General features: G+C 40.7%; 1 annotated feature.

Moving 5' to 3' along the window:
- Positions 565 to 1,173: an enhancer, noted in NCBI's record as "H3K27ac-H3K4me1 hESC enhancer chr2:66404589-66405197 (GRCh37/hg19 assembly coordinates)". NCBI's record gives its function as "activates a minimal SCP1, AML or CMV promoter by ChIP-STARR-seq in naive H9 embryonic stem cells {active_cell/tissue: H9 hESC(naive)}" and the evidence as "EXISTENCE:reporter gene assay evidence [ECO:0000049][PMID:30033119]".

Raw genomic sequence — 16,478 nt, forward strand, 5'->3', positions numbered from 1 at the left:
ATATGCTAAAACCCCAATCCAAACCTGGTGGTAAGCATGGGAGTCAGAAATGCCCTCTCCCATCAAGAATGCCATGCTGATATACTGATGCATTCTACCAGATGCCCTGAAGACAGATGGCACATTTAGGCAATGTGGAAATCAAGGACCATTTTATGCAGGTTTTGCTGCAAAATGTGGGATGCAGTATGTGTTTCCATCTTATTGTAAATCCTCACAAGAAGCTGCTTCATTCTAAATTGTGGCCCCAATCCCCAGGCTAGAAATAAGAATTTTTAGAGGGAGGAGCCAAGATGGCCGAATAGGAACAGCTCCGGTCTACAGCTACCGGCGTGAGCGACGCAGAAGACGGGTGATTTCTGCATTTCCATCTGAGGTACCAGGTTCATCTCACTAGGGAGTGCCAGACAGTGGGTTCAGGTCAGTGGGTGCACGCACCGTGTGCGAGCCAAAGCAGGGCGAGGCATTGCCTCACTCGGGAAGCGCAGGCGGTCAGGGAGTTCCCTTTCCTAGTCAAAGAAATGGGTGACAGACGGCACCTGGAAAATCGGGTCACTCCCACCCGAATACTGCGCTTTTCCTACAGGCTTAAAAAACGGCACACCACGAGATTATATCCTGCACCTGGCTCGGAGGGTCCTACACCCACGGAGACTTGCTGATTGCTAGCACAGCAGTCTGAGATCAAACAACAAGGCGGCAGTGAGGCTGGGGGAGGGGCGCCCGCCATTGCCCAGGCTTGCTTACTTAAACAAAGCAGCCTGGAAGCTCGAACTGGGGGGAGCCCACCACAGCTCAAGGAGGCCTGCCTGCCTCTGTAGGCTCCACCTCTGGGGGCAGGGCACAGATAAACAAAAAGACAGCAGTAACCTCTGCAGACTTAAATGTGCCTGTCTGACAGCTTTGAAGAGAGAAGTGGTTCTCCCAGCACGCAGCTGGAGATCTGAGAACGGGCAGACTGCCTCCTCAAGTGGGTCCCTGACCCCTAACCCCCAAGCAGCCTAACTGGGAGGCAACCCCCCAGCAGGGGCACACTGACACCTCACACGGCAGGGTATTCCAACAGACCTGCAGCTGAGGGTACTGTCTGTTAGAAGGAAAACTAACAAACAGAAAGGACATCCACACCAAAAACCCATCTGTACATCACCATCATCAAAGACCAAAAGTAGATAAAACCACAAAGATGGGGAGAAAACAGAGCAGAAAAACTGGAAACTCTAAAAAGCACAGCGCCTCTCCTCCTCCAAAGGAATGCAGTTCCTCACCAGCAATGGAACAAAGCTGGATGGAGAATGACTTTGACGAGCTGAGAGAAGAAGGCTTCAGACGATCAAATTACTCCGAGCTACGGGAGGACATTCAAACCAAAGGCAAAGAAGTTGAAAACTTTGAAAAAAATTTAGAAGAATGTATAACTAGAATAACCAATACAGAGAAGTGCTTAAAGGAGCTGATGGAGCTGAAAACCAAGACTCGAGAACTACGTGAAGAATGCAGAAGTCTCAGGAGCCGATGCGATCAACTGGAAGAAAGGGTATCAGCGATGGAAGATGAAATGAATGAAATGAAGCGAGAAGGGAAGTTTAGAGAAAACAGAATAAAAAGAAATGAGCAAAGCCTCCAAGAAATATGGGACTATGTGAAAACACCAAATCTACGTCTCATTGGTGTACCTGAAAGTGACGGGGAGAATGGAACCAAGTTGGAAAACACTCTGCAGGATACTATCCAGGAGAACTTCCCCAATCTAGCAAGCCAGGCCAACATTCAGATTCAGGAAATACAGAGAATGCCACAAAGATACTCCTTGAGAAGAACAACTCCAAGACACATAATTGTCAGATTCACCAAAGTTGAAATGAAGGAAAAAAATGTTAAGGGCAGCCAGAGAGAAAGGTCAGGTTACCCACAAAGGGAAGCCCATCAGACTAACAGCAGATCTCTCAGCAGAAACCCTACAAGCCAGAAGAGAGTGGGGGCCAATATTCAACATTCTTAAAGAAAAGAATTTTCAACCCAGAATTTCATATCCAGCCAAACTAAGCTTCATAAGTGAAGGAGAAATAAAATACTTTACAGACAAGCAAATGCTGAGAGATTTTGTCACCACCAGGCCTGCCCTAAAAGAGCTCCTGAAGGAAGCACTAAACATGGAAAGGAACAACCAGTACCAGCCGCTGCAAAATCATGCCAAAATGTAAAGACCATCAAGACTAGGAAGAAACTGCATCAACTAACGAGCAAAATAACCAGCTAACATCATAATGACAGGATGAAATTCACACATAACAATATTAACTTTAAATGTAAATGGACTAAATGCTCCAATTAAAAGACACAGACTGGCAAATTGGATAAAGAGTCAAGACCCATCAGTGTGCTGTATTCAGGAAACCCATCTCACATGCAGAGACACACACAGGCTCAAAGTAAAAGGATGGAGGAAGATCTACCAAGCAAATGGAAAACAAAAAAAGGCAGGGGTTGCAATCCTAGTCTCTGATAAAACAGGCTTTAAACCAACAAGGATCAAAAGAGACAAAGAAGGCCATTACATAATGGTAAAGGGATCAATTCAACAAGAAGAGCTAACTATCCTAAATATATATGCACCCAATACAGGAGCACCCAGATTCATACAGCAAGTCCTGAGTGACCTACAGAGAGACTTAGACTCCCACACATTAATAATGGGAGACTTTAACACCCCACTGTCAACATTAGACAGATCAACGAGACAGAAAGTCAACAAGGATACCCAGGAATTGAACTCAGCTCTGCACCAAGCGGACCTAATAGACATCTACAGAACTCTCCACCCCAAATCAACAGAATATACATTTTTTTCAGCACCACACCACACCTATTCCAAAATTGACCACATACTTGGAAGTAAAGCTATCCTCAGCAAATGTAAAAGAACAGAAATTATAACAAACTATCTCTCAGACCACAGTGCAATCAAACTAGAACTCAGGATTAAGAATCTCACTCAAAACCGCTCAACTGCATGGAAACTGAACAACCTGCTCCTGAATGACTACTGGGTACATAACGAAAAGAAGGCAGAAATAAACATGTTCTTTGAAACCAATGAGAACAAAGACACAACATACCAGAATCTCTGGGACACATTCAAAGCAGTGTGTAGAGGGAAATTTATAGCACTAAATGCCCACAAGAGAAAGCAGGAAAGATCCAAAATTGACACCCTAACATGACAATTAAAAGAACTAGAAAAGCAAGAGCAAACACATTCAAAAGCTAGCAGAAGGCAAGAAATAACTAAAATCAGAGCAGAACTGAAGGAAATAGAGACACAAAAAACCCTTCAAAAAATTAATGAATCCAGGAGCTGGTTTTTTGAAAGGATCAACAAAATTGATAGACCGCTAGCAAGACTAATAAAGAAAAAAAGAGAGAAGAATCAAATAGATGCAATAAAAAATGATAAAGGGGATATCACCACCGATCCCACAGAAATACAAACTACCATCAGACAATACTACAAACACCTCTACACAAATAAACTAGAAAATCTAGAAGAAATGGATAAATTCCTCGACACATACACTCTCCCAAGACTAAACCAGGAAGAAGTTGAATCTCTGAATAGACCAATAACAGGAGCTGAAATTGTGGCAATAATCAATAGCTTACCAACTAAAAAGAGTCCAGGACCAGATGGATTCACAGCTGAATTCTACCAGAGGTACAAGGAGGAACTGGTACCATTCCTTCTGAAACTATTCCAATCAATAGAAAAAGAGGGAATCCTCCCTAACTCTTTTTATGAGGCCAGCATCATTCTGATACCAAAGCCAGTCAGAGACACAACAAAAAAAGAGAATTTTAGACCAATATCCTTGATGAACATTGATGCAAAAATCCTCAATAAAATACTGGCAAAACGAATCCAGCAGCACATCAAACAGCTTATTCACCATGATCAAGTGGGCTTCATCCCTGGGATGCAAGGCTGGTTCAATATATGCAAATCAATAAATGTAATCCAGCATATAAACAGAGCCAACGACAAAAACCACATGATTATCTCAATAGATGCAGAAAAAGCCTTTGACAAAATTCAACAACCCTTCATGCTAAAAACTCTCAATAAATGAGGTATTGATGGGACGTATTTCAAAATAATAAGAGCTATCTATGACAAACCCACAGCCAATATCATACTGAATGGGCAAAAACTGGAAGCATTCCCCTTGAAAACTGGCACAAGACAGGGATGCCCTCTCTCACCACTCCTATTCAACATAGTGTTGGAACTTCTGGCCAGGGCAATTAGGCAGGAGAAGGAAATAAAGGGTATTCAATTAGGGAAAGAGGAAGTCAAATTGTCCCTGTTTGCAGATGACATGATTGTATATCTAGAAAACCCCATTGTCCCAGCCCAAAATCCCTTAAGCTGATAAGCAACTTCAGCAAAGTCTCAGGATACAAAATCAATGTACAAAAATCACAAGCATTCTTATACACCAACAACAGACAAACAGAGAGCCAAATCATGAGTGAACTCCCATTCACAATTGCTTCAAAGAGAATAAAATACCTAGGAATCCAACTTACAAGGGACGTGAAGGACCTCTTCAAGGAGAACTACAAACCACTGCTCAATGAAATAAAAGAGGATACAAACAAATGGAAGAACATTCCATGCTCATGGGTAGGAAGAATCAATATCGTGAAAATGACCATACTGCCCAAGGTAATTTACAGATTCAATGCCATCCCCATCAAGCTACCAGTGACTTTCTTCACAGAATTGGAAAAACTACTTTAAAGTTCATATGGAACCAAAAAAGAGCCCGCACCGCCAAGTCAATCCTAAGCCAAAAGAACAAAGCTGGAGGCATCACACTACCTGACTTCAAACTATACTACAATGCTACAGTAACCAAAACAGCATGGTACTGGTACCAAAACAGAGATATAGATCAATGGAACAGAACGGAGCCCTCAGAAATAATGCCGCACATCTACAACTATCTGATCTTTGACAAACCTGAGAAAAACAAGCAATGGGGAAAGGATTCCCTATTTAATAAATGGTGCTGGGAAAACTGGCTAGCCATATGTAGAAAGCTGAAACTGGATCCCTTCCTTACACCTTATACAAAAATCAATTCAAGATGGATTAAAGACTTAAACGTTAGACCTAAAACCATAAAAACCCTAGAAGAAAACCTAGGCATTACCATTCAGGACATAGGCATGGGCAAGGACTTCATGTCTAAAACACCAAAAGCAATGGCAACAAAGCCAAAATTGACAAATGGGATCTAATTAAACTAAAGAGCTTCTGCACAGCAAAAGAAACTACCATCAGAGTGAACAGGCAACCTCCAAAATGGGAGAGAATTTTCGCAACCTACTCATCTTACAAAGGGCTAATATCCAGAATCTACAATGAACTCAAACAAATTTACAAGAAAAAAACAAACAACCCCATCAAAAAGTGGGCAAAGGACATGAACAGACACTTCTCAAAAGAAGACATTTATGCAGCCAAAAAACACATGAAAAAATGCTCACCATCACTGGCCATCAGAGAAATGCAAATCAAAACCACAATGAGATACCATCTCACACCAGTTAGAATGGCAATCATTATAAAGTCAGGAAACAACAGGTGCTGGAGAGGATGTGGAGAAATAGGAACACTTTTACACTGTTGGTGGGACTGTAAACTAGTTCAACCATTGTGGAAGTCGGTGTGGCGACTCCTCAGGGATCTAAAACTGGAAATACCATTTGACCCAGCCATCCCATTACTGGGTATATACCCAAAGGACTATAAATCATGCTGCTATAAAGACACATGCACACGTATGTTTATTGCGGCATTATTCACAATAGCAAAGACTTGGAACCAACCCAAATGTCCAACAATGATAGACTGGATTAAGAAAATGTGGCACATATACACCATGGAATACTATGCAGCCATAAAAAATGATGAGTTCATGTCCTTTGTAGGGACACGGATGAAATTGGAAATCATCATTCTCAGTAAACTATCACAAGAACAAAAAACCAAACACCGCATATTCTCACTCATAGGTGGGAATTGAACAATGAGATCACATGGACACAGGGAGGGGAATATCACACTCTGGGGACTGTTGTGGGGTGGGGGGAGGGGGGAGGGATAGCATTGGGATATATACCTAATGCTAGATGACAAGTTACTGGGTGCAGCGCACCAGCATGGCACATGTATACATATGTAACTAACCTGCAGAATGTGCACATGTACCCTAGAACTTAAAGTATAATAAAAAAAAAAAAATAAGAATTTTTAAATGATGTTCAAGTACAGAGCTCATTGTGCATCATTGTCAGGCCAGGCAGCACTTTAAACAATTAAAAATGATCATCGATAGCAATGAGAATGAGTCAGGTGGCTCTCCACATGCAAACAGGGAAACATCTCCAGGATAGAACATTAAATGAAAAGCACATGGTGCATATATATGTAGGTATGTTGTTTACATTTTCTGAAAGGCTGCACAAGAAGCTATTGCAATTATTACCATGGTGGAGAGGGACTAGAGGGCAGAGAAAGGTGACTTCCATTTTTCATTTCACACATTTTTATATTTTGTCACATGTGTATATTATTTTTACTTTCAAATTTTAAAAATAAACTGTTCTCATCTATCATCGGTTCATAACAGAAAGGATATTTTTTAAGTAGAAAAGACATAGTCTTATAATAAAGGGCTGTCCATCCAATTAAGTTTTAATTAGCAAAAGCAAAATGAAACAACACAAAAACATAAAAGAATAGGACCTTACTGTAATGCATATAGTGAAGTGTTTAAAGACACATGTATAAAAGATGACTCTGAGAGTGCTATGTGAAAAAAGAAATAATAACAGGCATGTTCCCCCAAAAAGTCATCTTAGTGCTGGTTTGCATAGCTCTGATTTTTCACTCCAAGAGAGCTATGGATTTGCAGCCTGGCTGGGTATGGAAACAGGGGATAGATGTGGATAGAAAACAATACTGGGATATGATTTTCATTTGCTGGCCATGCACCACCTTCCTTTGCTGGGAGAGATAGGTGGCCAATCGTCCACCCCAGAGGCAGTGCCCCACTAGTGAGCCTCCTGAGAAAGGCAGTTACCCTCCCTGTTTTAGTAAGACTCTCTACCTTCCTTAGCACATAATTACTAGAGTGATATGGTGTGTGTGTGTGTGTGTGTGTGTGTGTGTGTGTGTGTGTGTGTGCGCGCGCGCGCCCGCGCGCATATGCATGCTTGCGTGCACATGTGCGTCTGCTAATTTCAGGAGAATCTTGCCAGAAAAAGGAGCATCAAAGGATGAGAAGGGATATGGAGATGCAGAATCAGAGATAAAAGGGACCAAATTTTACTAGCAATTACGGCAAATATCTAACTTGCATAAATGAAGCCAATTACTGTATTATTGCCTCCTTTTGCTCTGTGCACAGTAGGGATGTCACTGGATAATGGTTTGCATGTAGAGTTAATCACTTTGATGCATTTCTGACTGATCCCAGCAAATTATGTTTTGGTTCCACTATATTAAACACAAGAGCTGGGGATTATCATTAATAAATCTAAGGCACAGCATGCATAAATCTTGAATAAATCAAATATCAATTACATAGGCAGTATCTGCTGACATCTGCTTTCATCAAATAATATATTTGAAATAGGTGTTATTTCAATTTGTTGAAGTCAAAGGGATCTTCATACAGGGAACACAGCCCCTGGACCCCAAAGGAAAAAGCAGCTGAGCCATTGCTGAAGAGCCCCTTAGTGGTGTTCGATTTTAATCTGTGAAGGCTACATTTAGATGGCTACCCAGAGATCCAGAGGAAAGGCTGTCTTGCTGTGGAAAGGGCTTCCAGCTAAATGTCATTTTCATGTAGGTATTTTTAAAAGGAAGCAGGAGAGATTGAGGTGAGAAAGGAGGAAAACTTTTTAAACATCTGACTATCAAGGAGAGGAGCAGGCAATTGAGGGAATGTATGTGACTCTTCCAGTACAAGAAGTCAGAATCCATTCAGATGCAAGGAAAGAAGTTCAGTTCATGATAGGAAGACCTCTGAAAATGAGTGGCTATGAGGATAGCTTATAGGATTTACTCAAGGAGAAACAAAAGCAGGAGGTGAGGGGAAGGTAGATTTGCATTTACTAAGCACCAGGCATTGGGCCAAACTCTAGATCGGAAACTTTATCTCCTCTTTTAATCCCCACAGCATCCCATATGAGAGAGATATTAGTGTTTATTCTTATCATTGGAGGAAGCTGAGGCATGGGAAGTTAAATAATGTGAATAAAGCCATACAGCTCTCAAATGGCACAACAGGATGTAAATCTGGATCTTTATGAATGTGCTACATGGCACCAGTGGTGGTAGTGGTTATGGTATTGGGGTGTGTGTTTATATAAAAAAGAGAGAAGAAAATGTAAGCACATGGGGACAGGGAGAGGAAAGAGGGTGTGGAGAATATGTGTTCATTTAAAAAACTGCATTAAATGCCCTTAAGTCCAACATCAAGAGGGATGGGTGACTTTTTTACATTGCATTCCTTCTGACTTTCCTATATCACATCCCTTCTGCGTGGCCTGCCATCCATAAGTTAGAATCTTTTCTCTCTGGGGTGGATGATTAGGATTTCTTTGAGACCTCTTCAAGGAATTTTCTGGGGTTAAACTCACTCTCAGGCAGGGTGGAGCTGGGTTAGGAAATGTTCTCTAGGGCACTGGCTCATCATGAGAGGTAGAAAACGATTGCCTCATATATACTCTCCGGGCAAAGCAGGAGTGGAGACCAGAAATGAAATAAGCCAAAGTCGCTCACCTGAAGCAGTCCTGAGGCCTCTGCTAAGGGTGGAGATGGTGCTTCGGAGGGGCGGGTGGAGTATTCCACGCAGTGCTTGTCCCAACCTGAATAGGCGAGCCTCATAAAGAAACCAGAGTTCGTTTACCATTTATTTTATCACGCTTGGCATCAAAAGAAAGAAAACCAAAAAGCAGACTCCCAAATCTGGGCCATGCAGGAACCCCTTAGGTTTACATTTTCTAAGCAGGGGTAGGTGGGAGTCAGGGCCATCTCCTTTTGGACCAAGGATCCCAAAGGAAGCACTTCAACGAAGCTGAGTAGAAACAGCTCTCGGCTTTCATTAGGCCACAGCTCCCCTGCATGCTGAGCTACACCACATCAGACCTGCCTGGGCCTCTCACCACATAATTCCCCTTTCTGCACTCTGCCTTCTATATGCAAACCTGCACTGGGATATTGAGAACACCGATTGTCGACAGATAAGTGAAAACTGATGTGACATCACCATAGAGATGAGATACATTTTCAGAGTTTCAGACACACTTACATTCGTGTGATATATCCCACAACTTATATTACGAATAGGTACAGATTCTGAATAGTTAAATTTAAAATATTTTTAGAATTTCAAATCTAACCTTTGGATTATGTTTTTTTGGTATCCACAGGGATGACAGATTTTTCTGTTGTTCTTGGGTTTTCTAATCAGCATCACAGAGTATCACAAGGACATGTTCAGTTAGTGCATCTGATTCAGATTGGATAGAATGTATCATCTTGTTGGTAAAAGACTTTCAGGCTGCAAAATTACTTTCCAAAAACCATGCAAATCTGGCCATTAGCAAATGTCAATGAATGAAGAATAAGCTCAAGTCTCCCTCCCTTTTGCTTTAACCTCCATCGCTACAAATATACACACACACACACACACCCCCCCAGAGGCACGTGAGCTAATGTGTAAACGAGGAAGACAGAGACTTTGATCTCCATGGTGCCCACTCTTCATATAGTTTTATTTTGCTCAGTTTGAAGTAGCACAGGCCCTGAGCCAATAGGAAGCCAAAGGAAACTCAGGGACAGCCAGAGTTTCCAGTTCAATTCAGAACAAGCTGGATTAACCTGGAAACAGTGAGAAAGGCTGGAGACATCTGTTTCTACATTTGCCCCACAGTCCTGATGCTGCTACTCTGAGCTCAAAAGAAAAGAAACTGTGTTAATTAAATTTATATCTTAAAATTCGGCCTATGCACACCCACTGGTGAGGAAAATAAGGTACATTCTGTGCTATGAGGTAGCCAGTACTAGCAGATAATAACCAGGAACACTAGAAAGACAACTGAACAAGAGGCAGAAAATAATCATTTAGGGTTAAAATAATGCATCACATTTGAGGAGAAGGGAAACAGAAATCAGAAAATGAATTAGAAAACACAGAGGCATGGTTTGTGCTCTGTGTGTGTGTGTATGCGTGTGTGTGACCAGGATGGGAGACACAGTAGATATCACATAATTAGTGGTTGCTGATTTTTTCTTGCAATGGAAGGTTTTTTATTTTTTTGATAATTTCAACTTCTATTTTAGATTCAGGGGGTACATGTGCAGATTTGTACCTGAGTATATTGCATTATGCTGAGGTTTAGGATATGATTGATCCTGTCACTGAGGGAGTGATCATAGTACCCAACAGTTAGTTTTTCCACCTTTGTCCCCCTCCTTTCTTCCCATTCTCTTCTAGTTGTCTCCGGTGTCTATTGTTGTCATATTTACGTCCATGAGTATCCAGTGATTAGCTCCAACTTCTACATGAGAACATGTGGTATTTGTTTTTCTAGTCCTGCATTAATATGCTTAGGAAAAGGGCCTCCAACTGCCTCCATGTTGCAGCAAAGGACACAATCTCCTTTTTTATGGCTGTGTAATACCATGGTGTATATGTACCACATTTTCTTTGTCCAATCCACCATTGATGGGCGACTAGGTTGATTCCATGTCTTTGCTACTGTGACTAGTGCTGTGATGAACATATGAGTACCTGCGTCTTTTTGGTAGAATGATTTATATTCTCTTAGATATATACCCAGTAATGGGATTGCTGGATTGAATGGTAGTTCTGTTTAAGTTATTTGAGAAATCTCCAAACTGCTTATCATAGTGGCTGAACTAATTTATATTCCCACCAACAGTGTGTGAGCATTCCCTTTTCTAAGCAGCTTTGCTAGCATCTGTTGTTTTTTGACTTTTTAATAGCTATTCTGACTAGTATGAGATTGTATCTCATTGTGGTTTAGATTTGTATTTCTCTGATAATTAGTGATGTGGAGCATTTTGTCATGTGTTTGTTGGCTGCTTGTATGTTTTATTTTAAAAAGTGTCTGTTCATGTCTTTTGCCCACTTTTTAACAGGGTTATTTGTTTTTGCTTGTTGAATTGTTTAAGTTCCTTATAGATTCTGGATATTAGATCTTTGTCAGATGTATAGTTTGTGAGTATGTTCTCCCAGTCTGTAAGTTGTCTTTTATAGTTTCTTTTGTTGTGCAGAAGCTTTTTAGTTTAATTGGGTCCCACTTGTCAACTTTTGGTTTTGTTGCAATTTCTTTTGATAACTTAGTCATAAATTCTTTCCCAAGGCTGATATCTAGAATGGTGTTTTCTAGGTTTTCTTCTAGGATTCTTACAGTTTACAATCTTACATTTAAATCTTTAATCCATCTTGAGTTAATTTTTGTATATGATGAAAGGTAGGGGTCCAGTTTCATTCTTCTGCATATAGCTAGCCAGCTTTCCCAGCATATCATTGCTGATTTTAACCACAGCTTTAGCCATTGCTAATAATCCAACCAGGAAGACTACTTTTGGAGAAAATGGATTATAAAATGTCTATATAAGTATTGCCTCCGGAGGCATTACTTATCAATTGTAATTGGCCCTCCTGAGAAGCTGACCCTTGGAATGTGAAACTGAATTTGAATGGTTTTGATGGTAGTCTCTGTTGGCATTAAGAATGTGTCATCATGATGGTGCTAGTGGTAGAGCCATAGCTGATTGCAGTGTATGTAAAAGAAGTTTAAATGACAGTTTATATTTTTCAAAATGAGTTTATAGTGAAAAGAATACATTGATATAAGAATTTACTGAGAATCTGAAAAGATAACTGACATACAAAGACTCATTTATTCACTCATTCATTCTCCAAATATTGTAAGAAATTTGTTCTGATCATTTATTTTTTTCCAGGCTAGGGGCTGAGGATGTAGGAGATGCAGCTTGGAAATCTGTCATCTGAATAAATGTGTCAAGGTTAATTAAATGGGGTGACACAAATTCTGCATACTCTTGTACATAGATGATGGGGATGGCTAGAGCCAATGTAGGAGGTGTCAATTTAGAGCCTTATCCCCAACTTTCCTGACCTGCATTCCACTAACTGTATGTAACTTTCAAATAGGCCACTTAACCTTAGCTTTTGAGTAATCTTAGCTGTAAGAGTTGGGGTGTATTGTCCCAGGGAAATCCTTTCTTAAAAAGCCTATTGATTCTCATAAGAGCAAGGACTATCAGTTAGTCTGAAGAAAAGAGATGAAGCCACAGCCACGAATCAAGGGGGCAAAGCTGGGCCCATTTTGGTTGTTTCCATCTGTGTCTTGTTACAAAAGTCTCCATGTCATCGTATGTTGTTATGTCTCTATGCAACGCTGAATATTTGTCTGCTTTGCAAAGGTCAAAGGATGGTTGTCCCAATAACCCCTTTGATCCTCTATCACCATATCCAATCATCATGCCTCATCTATGAGGATCTGGGAGTGGATATGCTACACACTCTGCTGATGTGTAGATGTGCATATCATTTATCAAAGATTGCCATAAGCACATCTGTATTTTGCAGTAATTTTCCTAGCCATTTTATTTTCAAACATTACTGGCACATTGCCTGATATCCTGATAGCATGAGTCACATTGTTCCAACACATAGTCAGCACAGAAATGCACACACACACAATCCACATTGAAAATGTGTGTCTCCTTGGTGTTTCTCCCTAAGGCAGCATAGATTTCCTTTCATCATCTTACCACAGCCTTAGCAAGCTTTCAACACAACAAGGTCATTTCATAATAATTATGCAAGCATGTGTGAGTGAGCCAAGAGCTCTGGCAATACACACATAGTATTAGAATAGGAAAATTCACATTCTGCCCATTCCCTGTACCTAGTATATGCTTGAGCTCTGTGGAATTTTGCCTGTTTGAGCGGAAAGCAAACTGGATTATGGGTTTCCTGAGAAATATTTATGGCAGAAATTCTACTCACCTTTCAACATCTCAAGAACTCAAGAAATCAACATGGAAGCGTCTTTGGTCTCAGCTCCTTTATGCAGAGAGTACATCTCTCACTAACTCTTCCTTCCCTGGAAGAGTTCTCCCTAATCCTTACAGGTAACACTTGGACAGTTTATTTCCAGGGCTTAGTTAAGAACATTGACCTCACTTACTTTTTCCCTTCACATCCTATGGGAAGAAGACATATTGGGAAAACAGAGCTGTGAGTTCATGGTTTTAGTGTATTTTCAAATGTGACTAAGTTTCTTCTGGCTTCTAAGGGAGTTGGATGATTTTCTAATTGTCCAGATTAAAACAAGAGTGCTACTAACTTGGCATGGGCCTTGTAGCATCATCCTATTTTATGAAGATACTATTTGTTAAGAGGCAGAACACAGGTGCACTGGCCCAGCAAATCCAATGATCAGTGGTATCCATATGTCCACTACATTGTTTGCTCTCTGAATATATTATTTATTGAAGTTTTCTTGTAATCAAAGCATATAGACTATATTCTCCAGTCAGGGAGGCATTCTTGGGGCATGTCCTGGTTGCTATGACAGAGTAGTTTGACTTAACAGTGTCAATCTGAGCCTTCATTACTAAACCCTACAAAATATGGTCACCATTTAGTTGACATCCTTCACTCTGATGATTAAGAATGATGAGCTGTGTAGAAAACTGGTGTTTCCACTTAACTTATTCATTCCAGGCAGTGTTTCCCAAAGCCTGAGCCAAAGGCCATCTGCATCAAAATCATATGTGGGGACACACGTGTTACAAAAATCAAATTTCGGCTGGGCACGGTGGCTCACACCTGTGATCCCAGCACTGTGGGAGGCCGAGGTGGGTGGATCATGAGGTCAGTAGTTCAAGACCAGCCTGGCCAATATGGTTAAACCCTGTCTCTACTAGAAATACAAAAAAATTAGCCAGGCATGGTGGCAGGTGCATGTAGTCCCAGCTACTCTGGCGGCTGAGGTAGAGAATTGCTTGAACCCGGGAGGCAGAGGTTGCAGTGAGCTGAGATTGCACCACTGCACTCCAGCCTGGGTAACAGAGTGAGACTCTGTCTCAAAAAAAAAAAAAAAAAAAAAAAAGAAATGCAACCCTACCAAATCAGCGTATCCAGAAAGGACCAGCAATCTGAATGTTAAAAGAATTCCCCCACAGGACTGTTTATACCCATTAAAGTTTGAGAAAGCCTGCTGTGAGTGAAGTGAATAAACTAGAGTTCTTGCATAAGGAGGGGTGCTAGTTTCATGGAAAATGCCAGGATCAGGAGAATTATTGCAAATGCACAGTCTCACACCTTCTTAAGTTCCAGTTCTTTGTTTCTCAAAGTGTGGTTGCTGGACCAACTGTATCAGCATCAGTCGGGACCTATTTGAAATTTGGAATCTCAGATAGTATGTCAGAACAACTGTCAAAATCTACATTTTAACAATTCCCAGGAGATTTGTGTGCATGTTAAACTTAAATTTTGAGACACATCAGTCTATGTGATTTACAGATCTTATTGTCATGTCTGCCTGTCTTGCCTTTTTTTAGAAGTCTCATCAGTCTATGTGATTTACAGATCTTTTGTCATGTCTGCCTTTTTTTAGAAGTCTCATCCTCCTCTTTTCTAGGTCCTGAAAACTCAAGACAATGGAACAATGCCAAGCAGTAAGATATGGATACAATGAGTAAAATCTAAAGATTGGTTCCTTTAAGACAAAGGGATCAACATGTAATAACTTGGAAATATATAGCAAAGAGAGAGCCAAAGACGTCTTCTAGCCCTGCACTTTGCCTCCTACTAGAACCAGTGGGAAGATGCTCCAGGAAGTTAGCAGAGTCAGTTACAGTTAACTGCAGCTCAGTGTAAGGAAGAAACTCAACAGTGGAGTCATTTTGAGAGGGAATAGGTTATTCTGAAAAGTAGGGAGTTTCCCTTCCCTATGGGAGTTGAATCCAAGGTTGGATCTTTTTTTTTTTTTTTTTTTTTTGAGATGTGGTTTTCCTATGTTGCCCAGGCTGGAGTGTACTGGCTATTCACAGGCATAATCACAGCATAGCACACCCTTGAACTCCTGGGCTCAAGGATCCTCCCACCTCAGCATCCTGAGTAGGTGGGACTACAGGTACACGCCACTGCACCTGGCCTGGATGATCATTATTAATGAATGTTTTGTAGAAGGGATATAAACATGAGATTGGTAGATGATCTGAATGACTTTTATGTTTGAGAGTATTTTATTCCATACTCACTGTAGCCTTATGTTCCCAATTTTAAATACATATATATATACACACATATATATACACACACAGTTATATATGCTAATATGTTACTTATGACTAAATAGTATTTATTTTTTATGTTTCTCTAATATCATTTATATTAAGAAATTAATTAATCAAAAAATCAATCTTTTGTCAGACCAAAAGCTTGAAAACAAAATATGGCCTGTATAACTATATTTCATGGAAAAAATAATAATCCAAACCATTTCTCAGTGGCGTTTGTTCCTGGTTCCTTTTCCAGTACATTCATTCACTCATGAAAAATCATTTTTGGGCTCAAATGGTAGAGAAAACAAAGCCAAAATTCTGAGCAGCAGTCCCAACCCTAGGAAGCTGTGTGGTTATATTATCTAACATCTAAAGGGCTATTTAACCATTCTAGGACTTGGTTTTGTCATTTGTAAAAGGAGTGAAATAACAGAAGCTGCCTTACAGGATCGTTGTAAAGATTAATGTGTGAATATACGTGAGCCACTTAGAACAATGGCTGGTACATAGTAAGTACTATTTGAGTGATAGCTTTCATTATCATCATCATTCAACAACAATATTGTTATTCCAGGCTTGGGGAGCATAAACACGAATAGGACAGGACCTCTTTTTCTCTAAAGATGCATAGTCCGGCTAGAGAAAGCATGTAGGTAAACAGTGCAGGAAGGGGAGAGAATCACTGTAATGGGGAAATGTGCTAGCAACTCCAAATGGGAGATTGCAGAGAAGGCTGTCAGAGAAATAGGCTGTTGAGCTGGGTTTTGATGACTGACAAGGCATTTTCCAGGTAGAGGAGGGAAAAGTGATCTGGGCTGAAGGATGTCACTTTGTGTTTAGCAATCCTGAGGTTGCCTTAAATCAGCCTCAATCACTTCTGTTGAGTAGAAGCCTATGCTTTCTGTCCTGCCCTGGTTCTTGGCTGCAGGTCACAAAACATTTCAGTCCATTCAAGAATCCTTGAGAGCTCTCCTGGGGACCTCCTGGGCAATGCAGAGGTCAGACAGCAGAGCCACATTCTCAGGGAGAGTGGCACAGTCAAGGGAGA

The sequence above is a fragment of the Homo sapiens genome, chromosome 2 (genome assembly GCF_000001405.40).
Source record: "Homo sapiens chromosome 2, GRCh38.p14 Primary Assembly".
In the NCBI taxonomy this organism is placed as follows: domain Eukaryota; kingdom Metazoa; phylum Chordata; class Mammalia; order Primates; family Hominidae; genus Homo; species Homo sapiens.